This window comes from Homo sapiens, chromosome 14 (assembly GCF_000001405.40).
Source record: "Homo sapiens chromosome 14, GRCh38.p14 Primary Assembly".
Classification (NCBI taxonomy): domain Eukaryota; kingdom Metazoa; phylum Chordata; class Mammalia; order Primates; family Hominidae; genus Homo; species Homo sapiens.
In genome coordinates this window covers 58,060,734-58,085,095 of record NC_000014.9, presented here as the reverse complement: position 1 = coordinate 58,085,095, position 24,362 = coordinate 58,060,734, and the positions used below count along the sequence as shown (strand labels likewise).

The 24,362-nt window shown below is 41.0% G+C and overlaps 1 protein-coding gene across 1 annotated transcript in view, besides 2 other annotated features; it reads left to right on the top strand.

Annotated features, from left to right (window-relative positions):
- Positions 1 to 24,362, top strand: part of ARMH4 (armadillo like helical domain containing 4) — a 151,453-nt gene that overhangs the window by 67,118 nt on the left and 59,973 nt on the right. The window lies entirely within an intron of this gene.
- Positions 12,191 to 12,485: an enhancer, noted in NCBI's record as "tiled region #5436; K562 Activating DNase matched - State 12:CtcfO". NCBI's record gives its function as "activates a minimal TATA promoter and a strong SV40 promoter by Sharpr-MPRA in K562 cells {active_cell/tissue: K562}" and the evidence as "EXISTENCE:reporter gene assay evidence [ECO:0000049][PMID:27701403]".
- Positions 12,410 to 12,459: an enhancer, noted in NCBI's record as "active region_8439". NCBI's record gives its function as "activates an Ori minimal core promoter by ATAC-STARR-seq in GM12878 lymphoblastoid cells {active_cell/tissue: GM12878}" and the evidence as "EXISTENCE:reporter gene assay evidence [ECO:0000049][PMID:35858748]".

Below are 24,362 nucleotides of genomic sequence, written 5' to 3'. Positions count from 1 at the left end.
TACTTGTTTTACTTAATCTGGATCAGAGAAAGAATGCACTTAACTTTTGCAATTCAGAAACAGAGCAATTAAGTAATTTTTCCCTGTCTCCAACTGAGACCATAAAAAAGGATGCTAAAGCCTTAAAGCGAAGCTTAGTGATCAGGTGAAGTTGAAATCAACTTGTTTATTTCATTTCAGCATTTGAGAATTAATGGCCACAGGGTTCTGCTTTTCCAACTCAGAACCTTTCTGCTTGCACAGAATGATTTACAGAATCTGGCACAAAATATAGCTATATGGTCAACAACAGGTCCCAGTTCAATTCATGTGAAGAACTTTCAAAATAAACTTTACAAACAGATTAAAGACCCAGGGAAGGAATTTAAAATGAAGTGCTCACAACTTAGGGGATGTTGATTTACACCTTCCATCTCTCAGTTTTCCTGCAGGGCTGAAATCTTTCTGAAATAATGGGATTTGAATTTTTGAGCTGCTTCTCTTGAAAGAGGATAGTGACTGTTTGGAACAGGAAGGATTTGATGAATCCTTGGGGGTAAATACCTGAAGTCATATTGGCAACTTTCAACTGCCGAAGATTTGTATGAAATCAGCCATAGGCATTGGGTGAACTACCACCTGGGTTTGTTTATCACAAACCTGATAAAGTATTGCACATCCCACAGGACCAGAGCCTTGGGCTTCTGAGTCCTGCCACGGGGGAAATAGACCAATAGTAGAGGCCATGCACACAGAGTTAAGGTGAAGAGTGGTTTCCAACTAGACCTAACAGCTCAGGATCCAGCAATGGAAACCACAGAGAGATAGAAAGACAACTCATTTATTTACTCCAGTAGTAACAAGAAGGTGGGGCAAACCATGGGGAAAATTCTGTGCTAGAAGTTTGTTTCCAGTGGAACCTTGCAGCCTTTTCTTCTTCCTTCTTCCTGGTCATCATTCTCACTTTGCATTCTTCATTTGAGCACCTGCCACACCTCCCCAGGACTGTCCTGGGATCCCAAGAGGCTTCACTCTTCTCTTAATCCCCCTCACTGTATCAAAACACTCTTACTTTAAAACCTTGGTCTAGTGACTTTATGATGGGCCACCAATAATTCATACTTGTTAAAAGATAATTTTTAAAATAAGGTATAATCATGATTCTCCTATAGATTTAAAGTGAACATGTCAGAGATTTTATTTAACTCGTTATTAATGAAGAAGCCAGGCAAATACCATAACTGGCTCAAATGAGACATGAAAGAACCACCAATCTATGTGGAGTCAAAAATTGTTGAAATGAATTTACAGATGGATGCAAGACTGACTTTTTCCAGTCAGCAAGGGTTGTCCCTTTTCTGGATATTTAATTTGCTTGTTTAGAGAATTATTTGTTTTGCTATTTGTTATCTGTAATTTAAAGAGTTGTAAAATAGTTCAAAGGCAGTGACAGGTGCACAGTCCTAATGGAGTCAGATAATTCTTAGGGGTGCCAGCACTCCATTGAAAGGAGTTTGTTTGTTTGTTTGCCTTTGAGATGGAGTCTTGCTCTGTCGCCCAGGCTGGAGTGCAGCTGTGCAATCTCAGCTCACTGCAACCTCTGCCTCCCGAGTTCAAGCAATTCTCCTGCCTCAGCCTCCTGAGTAGCTGGGACTACAGGCACACGCCACCATGTCTGGCTAATATTTTTAATTTTTTAAGTAAAGATGGGGTTTTGCTATATTGGCCAAGCTGGTCTCAAACTCCTGGCCTCAAGTGATCTACCTGCCTTAGCCTCCCAAAGTGCTGGGATTACAGGCATGAGCTACCATGCCTGGCTGATACTTAATATCTTTCCATTATTCCAAAGGTTAAATTTTGAAAACATTTTTATAGTGAAAGAATAGCTTGCTAATGAAAAAAGTTGACTTATGGACTTTGGATAGGTGGGAATGTATCTGTCTGCAAATGCCAGTTGCTATAACAAACAACTCTAAAGTCTCAGTGGATTAATATATTGGTTCCTTGCCCTCTTCATAATCCACTGTCACTCAGTTATTCTTTCACCCATATCTCCATCATCTTCTTGGACCTATGCAACTTCACTGGATCCTCTGCAGCTAGCCAGGAGGCAGGAAAGAGAGAGAACTTAGGGAAGGCTACCTGGGACTCATCAGCCTAGAATGGCTTTATTTTTCTTCCATTTCAAATTATGTTAGTGAGAACTAGTCACATGACCCCAGCTGGATGGAGGAGGGGCAGGGGGTGATGGCAGTACATATCATTTACCTGAAGCAGCCTGGCTTGGTGAACACTTAGCATTTTCAGGGGTGGACTTTCTCAAGGAAGGCAAGCCCCAGAAAACTGGGAAAACTCCATTTGCTATTTATAAATTTTTGCTAGATCATGAGTGATTGAGCAGAACAATGTCTGCTCTCCAGGAGCTGATGAGTCATGGGGAAGAAAAATGTGTAATGCGAGGCAGGATGTGAAATATGCTGGGGAAGAAAAATGCTCTGAAAGTACCAAGTGGAGCCTTGTAAAGCATTACAGACAACATGCAGGGTGGCAGTTGAGAGGCTAGAATTTGGAGTCAGGAAGTCCTGAACTGAAGCCTTCACTTTGCTGCCATTGACCCTGGATGAGTTTTTAACTTCTCTGAGCTTCAATTTCCTTAGCTTGAAAAAGAGCATACTAATTATTCACTCATAGGATAGATCTATGTGTGCAAAGTGAAGCAAAAGCCCATTTATCTTTGGCCTTGAAGGTTAGGCAGATTTCAAAAGGCAGAAAGGGGCAAAGGAGCATTGTAAGAGAGGAGCAGGTGAGCCGCTGGAGCCTTGGTTCCTTTACCCACTACTTCCTCGAGCTTTTATATATTGGGAGTTCCCAAGATGACTGTATTTGAGGAAAAGGAATCCACTATCAAAAATAAATTTGAAAACCCAGAGTGTTCTTGGGAGTATTGCTGATTCATTGCTTTTTCCAACATGACCCAGTGGTTGTCAGCATAATCTTTGACTGACTGTTAAGTTTAACCAGTTTAGTGTGAGGAGATTTACAGTTATTGCCTGTCTTAGAGATGACACAAATAATTGATGAGAGTTTTTCACTTTTCAGATATTACTTTTTCAAGTTATAGGTAAGCTGTGGTATCCTGCCTATATTTTAGCATCTAAGGTTTTTTTTTTTCCCTTCCCAGGTTAATTATATATTTTAATTTTTGGAACATGTACGATCATTATGGGATGCTATTAAGAAAGAAAAAAATCCCAACATGACTACCTTAAAGGCATTTAGTTATAAAGGCTGTAGCATTAAGATATGAACTTGGCCAGGCGTGGTGGCTCACGCCTGTAATCCCAGCACTTTGGGAGACCGAGGCGGGCGGATCATGAGGTCAGGAGATTGAGACCATCCTGGCTAACTAACACGGTGAAACCCCATCTTCACTAAAAAATACAAAAAAATTAGCCAGGCGTGGTGGTGGGTGCCTGTAGTCCCAGCTACTTGGGAGGCTGAGGCAGGAGAATGGTGTGAACCTGGGAGGCGGAGCTTGCAGTGAGCCGAGATAGCACCACTGCACTCCAGCCCAGGTGACAGAGCGAGATTCCGTCTAAAAAAAAAAAAAAAGATATGAACTTAAAATTTGAGAGTGTTTTGTACTACTTAGTAGCCTCATACAAGCTTATATTTACAAGTTTATATTCAACTTCTCTGCACCATAATTGTTTTACTCATTTTGTACAAGCGAGCACAATCCTTTGGAGAAAGCAAGCACAGTGTTGACCATTAATGTGCACACAGATCCCCCTGGGGATCCTGATACAAGGTGCGTTCTGATTCAGTAGGTCTGGGTGGGGCCTGAGACGCTACGTTTGTTCAAGGCTGCCAGGAGAGACTGATGCTGCTGGTTTGTGGATCACGCTTTGAGGGGCAAGGGGCCAGAGGATGCACTTTTTATCTGAGAAGTTGAGGAAACCTCACTTGGGAGAGTAAGAGAGACTCTTTATTTATTTATTTATTTATTTATTTATAGACAGAGTCTTGCTCTGTGTCCCCGGCTGGAGTACAGTGGCACAATCTTGGCTCACTGCCACCTCTGCCTCTCAGGTTCAAGTGATTCTCCTGCCTCAGCCTCCCAAATAGCTGGGATTACAGGTGTGCACCACCACACCTGGCTAATTTTTCTGTTTTTAGTAGAAATGGGGTTTCACCATATTGCCCAGGCTGGTCTTAAACTCCTGGCCTCAAGTGATCTGCCCGCCTCGGCCTCCCAAAGTGCTAGGATTACAGGTGTGAGCCACTATGCCTGGCCTATTTATTTTTATAGAAACATATACATTTCTTTATTATTTTTTATTTTATTAATGATGAAAATCTTAAAAAAAATAAATTCAACCTCACTGTCACACAATATAGCCATATAACAAACCTGCACATGTACACCTGAAACTTCAATGGGGCACAAATGATCCCATCACCCAGGTGGTGAGTATAGTACCCAATGGGTAGTTTTTCAGCCCTTGTCTCCCTCCCTCTCTCTCCCTTCTAGTAGTCCCCAGTGTTAGTTGTTTCCATCCAGAGGCTCTCTTTTAAAAAGGAGTTAGAATTTTATAATATCTACTTCTATTAGGGCTACATTCGTTTGGTCCTTCTCATCCCTCATTACAGACAGAATTCTTTAGACCCTTAGACTAGCTAGTTTTGACCGGGCACAGTGGCTCACACCTGTAATCCCAGCAGTTTGGGAGGCCGAGGTGGGTGGATCACCTGAAGTTGGGAGTTTGAGACCAGCCTGACCAACATGGAGAAACCCCATCTCTACTAAATATACAAAATTAGCCAGGTGTGGTGGCGCATGCCTGTAGTCCCAGCTACTTGGTAGGCTGAGGCAGGAGAATCACTTGAACCCAGGAAGTGGAGGTTGCGGTGAGCTGAGATTGCGCCATTGCACTCCAGCCTGGGCAACAAGAGCGAAACTCCATCTCAAAAAAAAAATTTTATATATATATATATAAATAAATATAAATCTTAATGATAGTGACAAAGGCACCTCATCTCCTTGTCTTAGCATCGTTGGCAGTCAAACCTGGCTGTTGCCTACTGCAGATGAGCAATGAGGGTGAACTATGTCACTCTTAAGTGCTGTGTCAAATCTTACTGACAACTCTTTCACCATAATCCAGTTACTCAGATAGATCATTTCTATAGTTACTATTTTGTTTATAAGTTGTGTGGAATTTTAGAACTTTTCTGTGGCTGGTTAGAGTAGTGCCAAGGAAGCCAACCCCCAGCTCCCCTCAGGTAAGGATCAAGGTTCAATTCTAGAAAAGAGCCAGGTGTATGTGCTTTTCATCACAAGAGAGTCCTAGTCAGAGCAGGGTTGGAAGGGCACATCCAGTCTTGCTCACGGGAGGAAAATGTTCCAAGTACCTACTTATTCAGAAAGTTTTTATTGAATACCTACTTTTACATAGAGTTTTTGTGGGCACATAAATATATGGTAAATTTAGCAGTAGTAGCTCTCATTTCCTGGGATCTTTCTCTATACCTACTATGGTTTGAATGTGTCCCCCGAAATTTATGTGTTGGAAGCTTAATCCCCATTGCAACAGTGTTGAGAGGTGGAGCCTTGAAGAGGTAATTAAATCATGGGGGCAGAGCCCTGTTGAAGGGATTAATGCCTTTATCATAGGAGTGGGTTAGTTATCTGGGGGTGGGCTCCTGGTAAAAAGCGGGAGTGCAACCCCCTTTTCTTTTCAGTATTGTATGTGCTCTCTTGCCCTTCTGCCTTCTGCCATCGGATGATGCAGCATGAAGGCTCTTGCCAGATGCGAGTACCATGCTTGTGTACTTCCCAGCTTCCAGAACTGTGAGAAATAAGTTTCTTTTTTTCTTTATAAATTACCTGGTCTCAGATATTCTAACAGCAGAAAACAGACTAAGACAATGCCCATACTGCTAAGCACTTGATATACTTTACATCATTTAGGTTTTATAAGTAGTTATCATTATTCCTCATTTACAGTTAAGGAAGCCTAAGGGTGTGCCACAGGTCAAAAGGGTTTCCAAATTGCATGGTCTCAAAATAGCTGCAACATTCCCAAGCATCATATTCAGATGTGATGATGTGTGGCAGAAAAGAGGGATTATTACTTTTTATGAGCCTTTCGAAGAAAGACTTTCCCAGAAGCTGCTCACACATCTGCCTTCATCTCACATTGGCCATGGTTGTATCATATGCCTATGTTTCAACCAGTTTCTGGCAAGAAAATGGAACTACATTGGTCCCATTGGCTTAGGCCAGGGGTCAGCAAAGTACAGCCCCTGAGACAAATCCAGCCTGATGCCTGTTTTTGTAAAGAAAGGTTTTTGGGAACACAGCCATGCCTACTTGTTTACTTATTTCTATGGCTGCTTTCACCTCACAACATTGGAATTGAGTTAGTTGCAAGAGACCTTATGATCCATAAACCCAAAATATTTACTATCTCACTCTTTACAGAAAAAGTTTGCTGACATCTGGCTTAGGCCAGTCAAGATCTATATCTGTACCATTGTTGGTACATGGTTGGTACATGGGCAGAAGTAGGGATTTTTTCCCAACAAGGAAAGAGTGAGTGGCTGTTGGATAGGCAACCAGCAGTGACTGCTACAGAAGGGCCTCTTTATCCCAATGAAGCAGAGGTGCTATAACAGACTTTTGTGTGGGGAGGTGGCTGCACCTCAGAGACAGTACATGATTGTACAGGTTACAGCCAGAGGAATGCATTGGATGAGAGGGTAAAAATAGAAAGAAAAAGAAGTGATGACTCCTAGGTCTTGGCATGTGTGGGATATAAACATTCCTTTCAAATTCAGATTATTAAACTAGTGCAGGGCCCATGCAGTTCCCAGCAGCCACATGCAGCTGTGACAGGGAGCACCAGCAGCTGACCAGAGGAGCTCATAAGCTTTTGCCCTGCCCTGCTGGTAGTTTTAATTTCTGAAGATCAAGGAGACAAGAACTGCTAATCTAATCAAGGAAGAACTGGTAGTTGAAACATGAGAGGTAATGTCTGTTTCATCTTAGAGTAGGAGAGAATGCTGGGCTTATTTAGGAATACCTCCGGACTTCAGCAAGGCAAATATCAGAAAGCTAAGGGAAAAGTATCATCTCTGTCCATTGAGTCTACATGGGTACACAGTACACAATTGGTAGTAGTTCCTGAAAATTTCTATTCTGATAGTACAGCTACAAATTAACCTGATGAGGAAGCAAAGGGTGGAATTTTAAGTAGCAATGTGGTTTTAAGAGGAATTTGGATTTCAGAAGAAAGAGACAGGATGTGTGGGAGCAGTGGAGTAAAAAAGATGTGGATTCCAATCTTGGTTATATCACTTGCTAGCTCTGTGAATTTGGGAACAGAGTTTAACCTCTCCGAGCTTCAGTTTTCCTATTTGTAATTTAGGAGAATAATATTTACCCATACAGAGTGTTCTTGCCAGCCAGTGCATCCACTCTTGCTCTCTCTCTCTCTTTTCTTTTTGAATAGAGTCTCAGTCTGTCACCCAGGCTGGAGTGCAGTGGTGCAAACACATCTCATTACAACCTTGACCTCCCAGGCTCAAGCGGTCCCCCCACCTCAGCCTCTTGAGTAGCTGGGACCGCAGGTGTGCACCACGCTTCCTGACTAATTAAAAAAGTATTTTTTGTAGAGATGGGGTCTCACCATGTTGCCTAGGCTGGTCTTGAACTCCTGGGCTCAAGCCATCCTCCTGTCTCAGCCTCCCAAATGGCTGGGATTATAGGCCTGAACCACCACGCACAGTCTACTCTTATTCTACCTAATTTTTTCACTCTGCCTGATACATGGTTTCATCAATTCTCACTCTTTACCATCTTTAAATCTTACTCATTCTTAAATAGAACAACCACCCTTTTGTAACCAGTGTGTTATTAATCACTAAACGTGGGTTAGCTCAGGGCTGTCTAGCTTGTTTCTTCAGCCTCCCATGGTCCTGCAGACCCATCAAATACATCTTACCACCTAGCATCCATGACCCCCTCATTGGGCTTATGACTGGTCTGGGACGTTGGCTGTGGTATGGAGGGCCCACTGGGGTGTTCAGAAGGGGCCAAGCTAAGCAAGATTATGGTATAGGCAGACATCACTGCTGCTGGCCGGGTAGAGGGTGAAGCCTTGGTGTAGACAAAGCTAAGTCTAGTGGCCCCGATGGGAGGAATGAGGGGCCCGAGTCTGGGTTCAACTATAGGATTCTTGGCAGGGTGGCTGGTGAACAGTCAGTTAGCAGTTAGTTGCTCCCAAATAGCTCATGAACACTCAAGCAGTGCTCTTGCAGGTTCCCCTTTGTCAGGTCTGCTGTCATCAGGTGGTGGCCCTAGTCCCTTCTTTCTCAGTTTACCCAGGATCAAGTTCCTACCACCTTTATCCCTCTTCCATTTTCCAAAGCTTTGTTCTCATTTTCTTTCTTTTTAAAAAAACAACTTTACTGAGATATAATTTACATATAATAAAATTCAGTAGTTTAAAATGTCCAATTCAATGTGTTCGAGTATATTTGCATATTTTCCCTAAGAATATGGGTGAGGTTTTAAGCAAGTTTGGGATCTGCTACTGCATTCAGGCAGCAGACCTCTGTTTTCTTCTTTTGATTCTGAAAACAGGGTTACAAATTAGAGTTCCAGGTTGAAATGAAAATGCACTTAGTCCTTTCCAGTCACTGAGCCACTTACATAGGGAAGAAAAGATTGGTTGGATTGCTTTAAATAACAGTAGATAGCCATGATTCTTGGGAAAAGCAGGATAATGACTTTAAGACCTAAAGGGTCATTTATCTGCTGGCTTCATCCCCACAGTGTTTTCCAGGCACATGGGCATCTTTTCCCATTTCCACAAACTTTCACAGAAGAGAATTTGATCTTCTGGCCTGGAAACTTACTCTGCTTAATGATGAAGAAATTCTTCAACAACGACAAAAATAATAGTTGCCGCCGCTGCCTCCTCCTCCTCCTCCCCTTCCCCCTCCCCCTTCCCCTCCCCTTCCTCCTCTTTCTCCTCCTTTCTTCTTCCTCCTTCTTCTTTCTTCCTCTTTCTTCTTCCTTCTTTCTTATTCTTCTTCCTTCTTGTTTTTAAACATACATTTCTTCTTGTGTTTTTAATAAGTACCAGGTATTGGTTATAATGGTAACTTATAAGACCTTATTTAATCCTCACAATAACCCTAAGATATAGATAGTGAAACTTTCTCCATTTTACATATGAACAAATTAAAGCTCAAGGTAATGTTTTCAGTAAATGGCAGAGCCAAGATTTGAACGCATGTTTATTTGATTGTGAAGATGCTGCTCTTTTTTCTTTTTGACCATCACCAAATTTTTATTATACTTTTAAGTTCTGGGGTACATGTGCAGAACGTGCAAGTTTGTTACATAGGTATACATGTGCCATAGTGGTTTGCTGCACCCATCAACCCATTATCTACATTAGGTATTTCTCCTAATGCTATCCCTCCCCTAGTCCCCACCCCCCAACAGGCCCCGGTGTGTGATGTTCTCCTCCCTGTGTCCGTGTGTTCTCATGGTTCAACTCCCACTTATGAGTGAGAACATGTGGTGTTTGGTTTTCTGTTCCTGTGTTAGTTTGCTGAGAATGATGCTTTCTAGCTTCATCCATGTCCCTGCAAAGGACATGAACTCATCCTTTTTATGGCTGCATAGTATTCCATGGTGTATATGTGCCATATTTTCTTTATCCAGTCTATCATTGATGGGCATTTGGGTGGTTCCAAGTCTTTGCTATTGTGAACAGTGCCGCAATAAACATATGTGTGCATGAGTCTTTATGGTAGAATGATTTATAATCCTTTGGGTATATACCCAGTAGTGGGATTGCTGGGTCAAATGGTATTTCTAGTTCTAGATCCTTGAGGAATCACCACACTGTCTTCCACAATGGTTGAACTAATTTACACTCCCACGAACAGTGTAAAAACATTCCTATTTCTCCACATCCTCTCCAACATCTGTTGTTTTGTTTCCTGACTTTTTAATGATCGCCATTCTAACTGGCATGAGATGGTATCTCAATGCAGTTTTGATTTGCATTTCTCTAGTGACTAGTTATGATGAGCTTTTTTCATATGTTTGTTGGCTGCAGAAGATGCGGCTCTTAATATATAAAGCCACATCCCTCTCATAATTTTGTGAGTTCCTTCCAGCACTGTGCTGGAGCCAGCACATATTGAATTGCAAGAGCTAATGGTTAAAACTTTTGGGAATTTTTAAAGTCAGCTCTTAAACTTAGCCATTAATAGAAATCAAATTATATAAATTTACAACTAAATAAATTATATTACAATATTTTCATATGCTCAAAACTCTTCACTTCCTAATTATTTTACTACATGTTACTTCTGTCTGGGCTTTCGAGGCTATTTACGTCTATTGCATGGTATGGTGGAAAACCGCATCATGGTGTGCTACTGTGTATCTTTTCCCAACTCTGCATTCTGTGATGTCATATTGGTGGTTGGAAATTGGCCATGGTGGGAGGATTTACACCACAGAAATTAATAAATACTACAAATCAGAGCTTGATTTACTGTTTTGTTGATTGTCTAGACTTAAAGTGATGGAGTAATGTTAATACTGCAAATTAAACTAAAAAAAAAAAAAAAGAACTGTGTTGCATCCACTGCCAAAGCGGAGAGAAGCTTCAGTTTAATGAATATAATTCATATCAGGATAAGGAATAGTTTAACAGTAGATTACATATCTGATTTAATGTTCATAAATTTATTGGGAAAAGAGTGGGTTAGGGTACAACTCCACTTGTCAAATGGTAGATGAATTGCAAGCATAAGTTAGTTACAGATAGAAAAACTTGACAAAAACCAGTGAAATCATCTTGTGAGAATCAATTGGCTGCATGGGACTTGCAGCCTGGCATGAGGTTGTCCCCATGAGTTTATCCCTGCAATTACTTCATCTTAAGCAAAAGCTTGAATCAAGGTGAATTTCAGGTTTCCTGCATTCTTAAATTCTGAATTTTTATGGCTGCTTGTTGTACTTAGCCTTTTAAATGTGCTTGTTGGTTTATCAAGAGAAAGGCAAATATAATAAAACCTCAATGATTCAATTTTGGGATTTGAGATGATACTTTGTTAAATTTGTATGGCCTTTTTGTAGTTTACTACATGTTTTAGCACACATCTTGTTTGTTCCTCTAATAATTCTAACAACCCTAGCATTGAGATAAACAGGGAGTTATTAGTGTTACCATTTACTGTTGAGGACACTGAGGCTCAGGATAGTTCATAACTTGCTCCAAGAGCACAGATAGTGAGCAGAAAGGCCAGGTCTAGGGCTTCCGGGTGGTTTCCTTGATTTCTCACGTCTCTTCTCTTTGATCTGCTTAAACAAAGAACTCCATTGAGCTAGTAGTAGTCACATCATCTTATGTCTTCTGAGCATACGTTGAACAAAAAAGTCTGTCTAAAAGTAGATTGCAAGGTTAGAAGACTATTTTTTTTTCCCAGTGAAGTAAATAAACCCATCCTTTCTGATTAAGTGAGGAGCTTAAGAGGAAGTAACAGTTGATTGCTTGTTAGGATAATAACTACTTTAGAACTCAAAGTCAGTGAACATGAATGTGCCCACACCAGAATAGGTGTTCAGTAATAGAACAACCTGATAAAGAGGACAGCAGCTTGGGATATGTTTGAGTGTAATCACAATCAAAGCAGCCTCTAGTATCTTTTATACTTTTTATAGCATAACCAGCAGATTGACTTTAGTGATGAGGATAACACAGAGTGACTTCTTAAGTGAACAAGGGACACTAGAAAAACAACAGTTTTTTATTTTTTAAAAATGGCATAAGAATGATTCCTTATACTACTCTAGGCTTTTGGTGTGTTTCTTTTCTTCTTCTCATCATTTATTTAGCTTGGAGTTGCCATATTTTTATGGGGCAAATTCCCAAAGAGGTGGGAATTTCATGAAGCCAAATATAGACATAAAGGTGGTATTCAGATAAAGAGGAACTGTGTTTGCTATGCATTTCCTCTAGTGAGGCAAATGTATGTGATATCGTCCCTTCTGCTTATTTGAGCAAGCCCCCAAGGAGGGGCGCTGTAGCCAGAAGTTGCTATTTAGGGCTCTGTCCCTAATTTACTGTGATATGTTAATGAAATATACACAGAAGTATTTTCTCCATGGAATGGGGATACCTGTCTGTAAGAATCATTATGCATGATGACAGGGTGACATCCAAACACCCTGTGGTCTTGTCTCAGGCACCACCTACCATCAGCAAATTAAAAGATGGCTCTTCCTTGAACTCAGCAGTAGGTGTCGCTGCAGTCAACTAAAAAGGAACGCTCTGGCCAAAAGGATTCTTTTTTTTTTTTAGATGGAGTCTCACTCTGTTGCGCAGGCTAGAATGCAGTGGTGCGATCTCGGCTCGCTGCAACCTCCGCCTCCTGGGTTCAAGCAATTCTCCTGCCTCAACCTCCTGAGTAGCTGGGATTACAGGTGCACACCACCACACCCGGCTAATTTTTTTTGTGTTGTTAGTAGAGATGGGGTTTCACGACGTTGGCCAGGCTAGTCTTGAACTCCTGACCTCAGGTGATCCACCCACCTCCGCCTCCAAAAGTGCTGGGACGACAGGCATAAGCCACCGTGCCCGGCCCAAAAGGATTCTATTAGAGGGAAAAGGAAAGGAGCTATTACAATTGAAAGTAGCTATTACAATTAGTTATCTAGATTTCTTTCCCACCCCAAACCCAAATCCTTCATTACATACTATTGTTTATCTTTTAAAATGTGACGTCTTATAATCAATAAGTCTCTTCAGAAAAAAAAGTTGCTTCTGTAAACCTTGCAATCCATCTATCCATTCATTCATTCAACGAATACTTCCTATGTGCCTACAACTTGTGAGGGACTTGCTAGGCTTTAGGCTTACAATGATAAACAGTAGTGATAGTCTGGCTTTTTGGAGCTTACTCTCTGGTGGGGAGACAGGCAATTAAAGAGGTAATACAAAAAATTATAGTACAGCAAGATTAGTATAATCATAGGAAATGCACTAGATGAAATAGAAGGAGACAACAAGGGAAACTGAGTTGAGGGGTCAGAGATGATCTCTTGCATAAAATAGCATGTAAAAAGGTGCCCATGGGGCACAAATTAGAAAGACAGCATCTGGATTCCTTTACTCCATCCGACATTCGCACAGGTTCTTGTCATGGTGCATTTTATCTCCCTTGTCGTCAGCACTATTTGAAATGCATAAAGAATATCCTTCCTCCTGATTTTACTTAGATAATTTGAAATACCTAAAGGGTTAATCATGATTTATATTGCTGTCATTATATCTCTCTTGAGATACTGAAAACTGCTTAGTGTCTTGTCAAATACTTTGACAAATACTCTTGATTATTTTATTAGCATATGATATATGAAAGATAAAATCAAATGTTGAAGCAGTCTGTCTTTCCCTTATTTCTACATTTACTCCTCACTGGGGTGTTTGAGTTAAAAAAAAAAGCTTCAGTTTCTATCAGGAAGTCAAAGTCAGCCTAAAACACAAGTGGGAGCCAATTTGGCACCAGTTATATGACCTGACTGGCAATAAAGAACTGGCTATTGCATTAGGTCTTGGACATTTTAAGAAGATAATGAAGAAGGAAATATTGATAAGAAACATGAAGTTATTCTATCGGTATTTGCTCTATCTCTAGTGACTCATGAATTATATTTTCAAAACCCTAAACTCAATTTATTAAGAGTTCCAAATACTGATTTTTGGATGAGTAAAGCCAGGAGACCAAAAAAATTGTATGTATTGAAAAGATAGCAGAAATGTGTTCTGATGAATCATTAACAACTTTTCTTGCCTCTTTTATCATTGTCATTGCAAAAGTTCCTTATTATAATTATTACCCGTACTATTGTATATAATATATATAACGTATATTATATATATATATTTTACTTGACTCTGGGGCCTGCACTCACCTTATTCATCCAAAAGAACATTTATTTTTCACATTATAAAAGGTATGGCCTCAAGGCTAGTAGGACTATAACCATTTTTCTTAGAATAAAGAAAATAAGTGTTCAAATGTATCAGGTTACAAAATAACAGAAAGACAAACATCACATGTTCTCATTTATTTGTGGGATCTAAAAATCAAAATAATTGAACTCATGCACATAGAGAGTAGAAGGATCATTACCAGAGGCTGGGAAGGGTAGTGGAGGATTCAAGGGAGCTGGGGATGGTTAATGGGTACAAAAAAATAAAAAAATAGAATGAAGAAGACCTACTATTTGGTATCACAACAGGGTGACTATAGTCAATAATAATTTAATCGTACATTTTAAAATAGCTTAAAGAGTGTAATTGGACTGTTTGTCACTCAAAGGATAAAAGCTTGAGGGGATGGATACCCCATTCTTCTCCATAATGTGCTTTTGCCAAGAGCTGGACATTCAGAACAGTGAAAGGCCTAATTGTACACAGTTCTTCTTAGCTTTTGTAGATGAACCCCTTGCCATTTTTATGTCCAGGAAATTGAAGTGTTTGGTCTTGTCCTAACTTGTAAAGGGAAACATTGTAATATTCTGGGAGGAGCCATGGGGAAACTTCTTATTGCTCTAGCCTTGCTATTAATTTATGGTGTGGTCTTGGGTGACTCTTAGTTGCTCTGAGCCTTTACTGTTTTCATCTGTAAAAAGGGGCCTGATGTGAGGTCAGCATGTAGAAACCCCTTCATTTTTCCTCTGTGCTCACCCCCAGTGTATTTGGGCCCACCTTCCTTTTTGACTCAAAGAAAGAGGTGACCTAACCCCTATTCAAGTACAGCCCTGCCACCTGCATGCGATCTGGAGCTTATCACCTTCTTCCTCCTCTTTGAGCTGTTAAGGAAACTGAGCCATTTGGGAACCCTCATTGTCTAAGTTAGAAATCTGGGTGCCATCTCTAATTCTTCTCTGCTTCACTCGGTTCTCGCATCCACTCAGTAGCAAAGCCCCATTCATTTTGTCTCCTAAGAGTGACTGTTCAATTTACCCTTCTTTGCCATCCTCCTTGCCTTCAGCCAGCATCATGTCTTGCCCAAACTATTGCAGGAGCCTCTTTACTGATGTTCTTTCTTGCTTGCAGTTCCTCTATTTCCAGTCCCTTCTCCACACTGTGTTCAGAGATATCTTTCTAAAACACAAATCTTATTATGTTAATTGAGTATCAGCAACTCCACTGAACAAATATTTATGGTGTGAATGGGTGTTATAACAGGTTCTGAGAGATGATCAATTTGAATAAGACAGCATGGTCCCATTTAAATGAAATCCTTGTGTTGGCTACCTATATTACCTATAGGATAAAATGAATTTCCTTTGCATGGCCTTTGATGCTGTACGTCAAATTTCCCTTCCTGTAGCCTTACCTTTGAATGCCTCTTCTCTTGCCGTCTGCATACTTTATATCCCTGCCACCAAACTCTTTTTAACCTGAGCATGCAGTGTTCTTTCATGTTTCTAAGATTTTGCATATCCAGATCTCTATGTCTGGAATTCCCTTTCCAACTTCTCCCTTGGCCTACCCATTGTTCCCTATCAGATGAAACTGTCATCTTATTTGGGAGAATTCTCATTAATCTATTACTTCCTTGTTTATACTTGTACAGTCCTTTATTCATAGTGTTATATTGTATTTTTAAATGTCTGTCATATGAGATTGTGAGCTACTTGAAGGCAGAAAATTTATGCCATATTCATGGTTGTATTGCCTATGATCTATCATAGCATATAGCACATTTTCAGGGCTCAATAAGTGATTGTTGATTACTAAAATAAATGAATGAACGTACTCTGCATACATGCATGGGTGGAAGTGGATATCACAATGTTTCTTATCTCAATGGAAATGTCAGTAATTGTGGAAAGAAGAAACTTGGAAGTTAATACTAGCTTTGATCTTGTTGATCTTCCAGGTAAGTCTTTGATATCTTCAGGTAGATCATGAACTGATGATGGTCAGGGGATGTTTGGACTAGATCTTTATAGATCTTTAGAGTCCTTTTTATCTCTGTCTCTCTTTTTTTTTTTTTTTTCGAGACAGAGTCTCACTCTGTCACCTAGGCTGGAGTGCAGTGGTGCGATCTTGCTCACTGCAACCTCCGTCTCCTGGGTTCAAGTGATTCTCATGCCTCAGCTTCCCAAGTAGCTGGGATTACAGGTGCGCACCACCATGCCAAGCTAATTTTTGTATTTTTAGTAGAGATGGGGTTTCACCATGTTGCCCAGACTTGTCTCTAATTCCTGACCTCAGGTGATCTGCCTGCCTCGGCCTCTCAAAGTGTTGGGATTACAGGTGTGAGCCACCGCGCGTGGCCTAGAGTCTTCTTTAAGCTGTAAAAGTTGATAGCTTTATTTTGGTTATATCAATTCAGTTCCAAGAGTTGGAACACTTTCCTGGTAACACTTTTGTCTGCTGGCTGAGAAACAAGTGTAGTTTGCTGAATGTATCTTGTCACTGTCTCTTTTCCTGGTACTCTGAAATCCACTTCTGTGTTCCTAAATGACAGATCATTAGGCTTATCCCCAAATGCATTGGTTGTCAGGTAGGCATCATTAGGCTAGTGAGATGTCTTAGTTTCAGCTGAATAAGGCAAATATGATGCTATCTAATCATGACAAGCACAAGGGATGTGGCGTTCTGAGAAGCAAAGAACATCTTTCAAGACTACAACATTTTCAAGTGTAGGCAATTACTCTAGTCATTGAATAGTGATCAATATATAAAGCTTAAGGTGGGAATATTAATGCTTCCTTTAGTGCAGAAACATCAGCATCAGCAACTAAAGCTTTTTTGGAGGGGGGTTGGGGGGTAGACAGAATTAACTGATAACTCCTCCCATCGTGGAAAGTTGATTTTTGTAGTCAGTTTGCAGATATATCAATTTTCAGGGATGTGAATAATAAAAAGAACTAAAAGCTTTTACAGGATATCTTTTCAGTATCTGCTTAACTCACACTCTTGCTTCCTCTTAATCCCCTAGCACCTATGTCACATCCGTTATCATCCTGAAAAGAAGAATCATTCAGGTCACTTAAATGGTGCTTCAATGACATACCATCCATTAGAATTCACAAAAAGCCAGCACTTTCCAAAGAGAAATGTGACACTCTCTTTCACTTGTTCTTTCTCTTCTTTTCCTTACATGAACTTTCAACTTCTCTTGGGATTTCTTATTTTACATATTTTCATAAGGTGATCATTTTTGCAGATAATGACTTATCACCTCCTAAAAGCAAGTCCCTGGTTGGCTAAAAGGAGTAAGGCAGGTGTTAGTATTCATCCATTTCCCCCATTTTGGTTTATTTGTTTGTTTATTCTGGCTATGAAGCTGGATATACTCAAAGCAAAAACATTTGGATAAACTATATAACCCTGGCTTTACACCCAGGAACAAGTGGATAGGTCTCTGGCTCTGTCCACCACCATAAAGAACTCTTTTTTGGAGCAGACCGCACAAACACTTGGAAGCCACAGAATGATGCAAATGTCTTGCTACCATCTCCCTTCCAGGCTATGCTGGCTGTCCTTACACAGATTCTCATAAATCCCTCTTTCTTGGTCTGCCTCCCCACTTCTTTCACCAGTCTCTCCCAGGACTCCAGCTTCATCCTGTAGTTTTGTGAACCAGCCACTAAGTCCTGTTTTGCATTGCTTAGTTAAGAAGGCCACTTTCTTCCCACTAGATTGGAAGCTCCAGGAGGGCAGACACTTTGTTTATTCACATGTGTCTCCTTGGTTCTAGAACAGTACCTACCATGTAACAGACTCTCAATACATTTTTGTTGAATAAATAAATGAAACTTTCAGACAAATAACCCTCTCTGTTTCTGTAGTGTCCACCTCTCATAGTATAATGCTGATGCCTTAGGCTAGAAGATGGAAGGGTACAAAGCAGATAAAAGATGAAGAAACCCCATCCTGCTGTATTTCAAAAGTGTTTGAAGAAGATGGGAAAACTCACCAACAATTCCTCTACGCATAGGAAACAAATGGCCTATTCTCTTCCAGTCTTTTTTCTATTCATTTTTCCCTAGTTGACATTATATTTTTTCCATTTTGTATCAGGTCACTCTAAGTTACATTGTAGATTAGTCAAGCAAACTGGATCTGCTAAAATTAGTAGTAACCATATTTTGTTTATTTGTGATAGTATTTTCCTTTGAGTCTGATACAAATGATTTTCACACTTAGATGTTTCTAAAATCATGGGTAAGTCTTGCGGTTAGTGTATATACTTAATGTCAACAGTAAATCTTATAATCCATGACCTTTCAAGATCCATGAAATATAGTATTTGGAAGTAGTATGCAGTACAGCTGTTTTTGGTTTTTCCTCATGGAAAAGCGAACATACTGACGTTCCTTCTGGCTAAAAACGTTTCTCCGAACTCTTCAAAGCCTTCATGGTTCCCCCTTCTCCCTGTTTATTTTTTTATAACATTAATTATTTTTATTGAGGTAAAATTTACATAACATAAAATTAGCCACTAACCACTTTAAAGTGTACAATTCAGTGGTGTTTAATAAACTCACAGTGTTTTGCAATCATTACCTCTATCCATCTCCAAGACAATTTCATCACCCCAAAAGAAAACCCTGTACCTATGAAGCAATTACTCCCCATTCTCCTCTGCCCCAGCCCTGGCAACCACTAGATTGCTTTCTGTCTCTACAGATTTACCTATTCTGGATTCCCTGTTTACTCTTCAAGGTAACTATGAAGAACAGGACTGGCTTTCTCAACTGGCATGTGGAGGCAGAGGATTTGTGGCATGGCTGTGACACATTATAACATGTTTATACATGCTGAGATAGTATTACCAGGATTGACCACTAAACACACATGCTGTTGGCAGTTGCAGAATTATCCTGGAAGTTTCTAAAAATTAGTGCACATTTTAATTGAAGTAAATGAATGATCAAGACTACTAACATGGCAAGAAAAGCTTCTAATGATGAAATAATGTGAAGAGCAAGGCCTAGTTTAGCTAGGTCCCCCACGTCAGGATCTCAGCTTTAAGGAATCAGTGGAGGCTCCTCCTAAGATTCACTGAAGAGGATCTGCCTCCAAGCTCACATGGTTGTTGGCAGAATTCAGTATCTTGACAGCTGTAAGACTGAGGGATTCAGGTTCTTGTTGGCTGTTGGCTGGAGGCTGCCCCCAGTTTCTTGCTATGTGGACCCCACCACAATGCAGCTCACAACAGCTTGCTTCATCAAAGCCAATGACAGAGAAAATCTGCTGGCAAGGCAGACATTGCAATCTTATGTAACAGTTATGGAAGTGACATCCCATCATCTTTGTCGTATTCTATTGATTAGAAGCAAGTCACAGGCCATGCCCACACCTAAGAGGAAGAGATTACTCACAGACATAGTAGTAGGAAGTGGTGATAACATGGAGCCACATTGCTGTGTAAATGCAGTCATGCAGTCACTCATCTCTTCATGGAGCTGGTTAATTTCTCTCCTCCAGTAAAGAATAAATTAGATAATGAAACAGGCTCATTCTTAAGGACAGTGTAGGCATGAAGAGAAGCTCTGTCGAGGGTATGCTGTATACTTGCAGTATGCATAGAACCTACAAAGACTCACCATTTGTGTTGATTTGTCAAGGGAAACTGGAAATCAGTGAGGTTCTTCGAGGAATATGATAAATAATTATGATGCTTGGTAGGTTTAGCCTCCATGTCTGATTTGAGGTATCTCCCTGAGCCTCAAGGCTCCAAAGAATGAAAGGCTGCAATCACATCATAGGCAACACATGCAGATAGATTCTCTCTCTCTCTCTCTTTTTTTAAGATGGAGTCTCACTCTGTTGTCAGGCTGGAGTGCAGTGGCACGATTTTGGCTCACTGCAACCTCTGCCTCCCAGTTTCAAGCAATTCTTCTGCCTCAGCCTCCCAAGTAGCTGGGATTACAGGTGTCCACCAACACGCCCGGCTAATTTTTGTATTTTTAGTAGAGACGGGGTTTCACCATGTTGGCCAGGATGGTCTCAATCTCTTGGCCTCGTGATCTGCCCGCCTCGGCCTCCCAAAGTGCTGGGATTACAGGCATAAACCACCACACCTGGCCAGATTCTCTTAAGTCAATGGCATCGTTTGACTTGTAGAATTCATCCTACAAGATCCAGCATTACCTAGATGTACTCTGAAAAAATTCTGAAACCATCAGGGGGCTCTATTTGATGCATTCAAGAGTGAATTGTACTCTGGCTGACAACATACTTTCTGTGAAACATTTTTTTGATCCCAAATAGTGTTAACCCTGCTTGATCAACAATATCATTTATCTATTTTGGCTCTGAATTACTCCTCACTCTTTCAAAAAATCAATGGCACCTAGCACAATATCACATATATGGCAAGCAATAAAAATAATTTGGTAAGTTCTTATAAATTCTTATGAATTCTAATGCGTGCATTCCAAAGAATGTTTTACATTCTTTGTCACATTGCTCTGGTGCTAATTGTAGGAATGGAGTTTTTCAAAGTATCAACATTATTGGAATAAGTGTAGTCTTTGATTGACTTATTGGAATAGAAAAACATCCGTTTGTATAAATAGTTGTGTGTTTAAGAGCATTCTTACTCCTTGATAATGTCGTCTTCTGCCTCCTCTGAGAGTTGCCATTTTTTGCCTCCAATATTGTAGTGAATACAGTGGTTGTGAATTTAAATAGCAAAGATAGTGAGAATCAGAGGTATCTCAGGGCATTAGAAACACTGACAACTATCTTCTGCTTATTCTTTATAGGTGTTTCTAATTAGAGTTTTGCTAAATTTTCTAATTAGAGTTTTACTTAGGATCCTATGTTAAGCTATTCAGGGAGTGGGTAATAATGTTTTGAGAAAAGTTAATGAATGCATAAATATTATAAGTGACCGTTTCTTGATATGATAATCGTGTGTTGGAATTGTTAAGGCAAAATTTTAATGCCAACATTTTGGGTGTTGGCTCAACCTATTGTTGATATTGTAAGTATAGCTAAATCTTTGTTAAAAGTGTGCGTATTACCTACACCAGCCATTTACTTCCAGGCTGGCTTCCTTTTGCAATCTGGCTGTTTCCAAGCTACTTCCTTTCACTGCTATTTCCATTTGATATAAACAGATTACAAACTCATTTTTTAATTGCCTAAGAAAAATGTCAATTAAAAAACAGACCAAATTCCAGCCAGGTGGAACGTTTCTGTTTGTTAGTTTTATTGTTTATGCCACTGCTTGCCTCTGTCAGTCTGTGTGATTGAGAGCTACCCGTGCAGCTTGACATGGGCATTGATTTTGCTTTCTTATTGATCAAGGAAGACATGAGCTGGGAGGTTGTGATAGATGACAGTACCAAAGTGTTCCTGGCAAAAGTTGTTCAGCCATGTCCTTCTCCAACTCATTAAATCAAAGCAGAGTTCTAAAAATGATATTTTTTGTAGTTTCTGTAGTGCCTTGCAAAGCTTTCTTGGGATGCAGATAATCAGATTTTCTGCTTATTTGGAAAGCACCATGACCTGCCTACTGATCTTTAATAAAATGTTATTTTAAAAGAACACATGAATCTTCTTTCCCATCTTTATCTTGAAAAACTCTCCCCCTTGAACCTATGGCTTTTATTATGGGTCAAATTGTGTTCCCCCAACCCAGAAGATACGTTGAAGTCCTAACCCTGGGGTCTTGTGAGTATGACCTTAGTTGGAAATAAAGTCTTCATATATTTAATCAAGTTAAGATGGGGTCATTAGGATGGGTCTTAATCTAACATGGCTGGTGTCCCTATAAGAAGAGGGACATTTTGACACAGACACAGACATGCAGGGAGAACGCCATGAGAAGACATGGAGACACATTGACAGAGTGAGGAGGTCACTTGAAGACTGAGGTAGAGATTGGAGTTATGTTCCCCGAAGCTAAGGATCCCCTGGAGCTGCCAGAGCCAGGAAGAGACAAGGAAGGACCCTCCTCTACCTCCTCTAGAGGCTCTGTAGGGATCATGGCCCTGCCAGTACCTTGATTTGGGGCTTGTATTCTTCAGAACTGAGGAATAAATTTCCATTGTTTAAGCCACATTGAGGGTGGTGTGTTGTTACAGCAGTGCCAGGGAGCTAGTATACCCCCTTGAGTGACTGCTCTTTACTTCTCTTCTCCCCTTCATGGCCAAGCTGCAAATTGGCTAGATCACTCCACTCTCCTAAAATTGCCCTTGCTGAGGTCTTCAGTAACCTCCCAGGAGGGGCTGCAAATTATGGAGCCTTATTGTCTGCATTCAAGCCCAGACTCTGCTCCCTGCTAGCTGTATGCCCTTAGGCAAATTATTTAACCTCTCTGAGACTTAGTTTATGTTTCTCAGTAAAATGGGCCTATCTCTGGGGGCTGCTGTCAGGATTAAAAAAGTTAATATAGCTAGAACACTTAGCCTCGTGCCCGGCACATAGCTAACATTTAGTGGTCACTGTTTCTGTTAATATCATTTGCTGCATGTGTCATCCCTTTTCAGTTCTTCCATTGCCTGACTCTGCAGCTCTGGACTCTGCTGGCTGCTTTCTTCTCCATTCCATTGCCGTCTAGTTATCCTCCATGCCTCTGCCTGTTTCTTCTGTTAAGCCTTTCCTGGGAAGACATTGTAGCTAATGCATAGAGCCCACGTGTTGGAATCTAATAGCACTAGGCTCAATTCTCAGCTTTGCTCTTCTTTATTTGGGGGACAGGAGGCAGAGTCTTACTCTGTCACTCAGGCTGGAGTGCAGTGGCATGATCATGGCTCACTGCAGCCTCAAACTCCTGTGCTTGTGTTCCTCCTACCTCAGCCTCCCAAGTAGCTGGGACTACAGGCATGTGCCACCACATCTGGCTAATTTTTATTTTTATCTTTCTAGAGACTGGGTGCCACTATGTTGCCAGGCTGGTCTCAAACTCCTAGCCTCAAGTGGTCCTCCTTCCTTGGCCTCCCAAAGTGCTAGGATTACAGGCATGAGTCACTGCATCCAGCCACCTTTGCTCTTCTTAAGTGAGTGATTTTGAAGAAGCTAGACTTTCTGAGCCCCTGTTTTTGTTTGCTTTTTTTTTTTTAAAGATAAAATGGGTAAATCTGACCTGATTGGGCTTGTGTGAGGAGTAAATGAGATAACATAAGCAGAGGGCCCAGTGCAAGCTGGATTCTGACTTTAACCCCACCTCTGGCTCATCCCCTGGCCACCCCCACCTCCAAGTTGAAGGCTGCCTCGTAGGCTGTGTGCTTGCTGCCTTACACAGCTCCAAGGGGTGACATTTACTTGAAGTAGAATGTGATGCAGCAGCCCTGCCTCCCTTTTCCCTGACACGACTTTTGGTGCAGAGATGGATCTGTGGAATATTCATAAGGTGCTGCAAAAAACCCCACACGATTGAAACTATAGTCATATTTGACGTTTTATCTCACTAGCCTTTACATTCAGTGGTTATCAGGACCCATGGCTTTCATTTCTCCTGTAACTCTCAGAAATATCCTTTCTTGAGGAAAGCGATTAACCAGATTCTGGCTTTGGAGAGGATAGCAGGGAAAGCAGAAATAATGTCTGATGGAAAGCTACAGTGTCAGTCCTGATTTCAGAAAGGATTGATTCTAGGCAGGCAGTGAGGTGGGCTCGGTAAGGTGGTGGGAAGGCTGGAAGTGGCCCGTGTGTGGCTTTACACGGTAATGGTTATCACTAGTAGGAGGAGGACTAGAGGTATAGGAATTGGATTCTGGTGGGTGGGGTGTCAAGATCACACCTTGGAGGAAGGACTGGCCAGTGAACTGGAGGTCAGGAAAGGTCGCTCGTCCTAGACTTGGCAATTGGTTGAAATTCAGGAGAATCTGCATGCTCTGGACTGAGCCAGCCCAGGGCTAGGGTGTCAGGGCTGAGAGGGATGGATTCGATTCCTCCTTAAGTGTGGCCTGGCTGGGCTAGTCAAGGAGGAGCCTCACGGAGTTGGAGCTCAGCATGGAATCTGGAATGTGATGTTATTCTAAGGCTCACCAAATTGGTCTGAGGGGCTCAAGCAGGGCTATTGATGCAGGCTGCTTCTGTCACCCTTAACTTGGGAACTGAGGTAGGCCAAGGCTGCATCAGTGGTTCCAGCTGAGAGGACCTGGAGGGGTGAGAGATAAGGAGAATAAAGCATTATTGTTGTGACCACCGCAAGCATTATTGCTTGTGATTGCAGAGGCAGTTTGGGAATCTGGGAACTCTAAAAACTTCTTCCCTTTGTGCATTTGCTGTACATACACCGTGAAAAGCCCTGTGCCAGCCCAAACACCCCGGAGATACCTTTTCTCCCTGGTTTTCATTGCT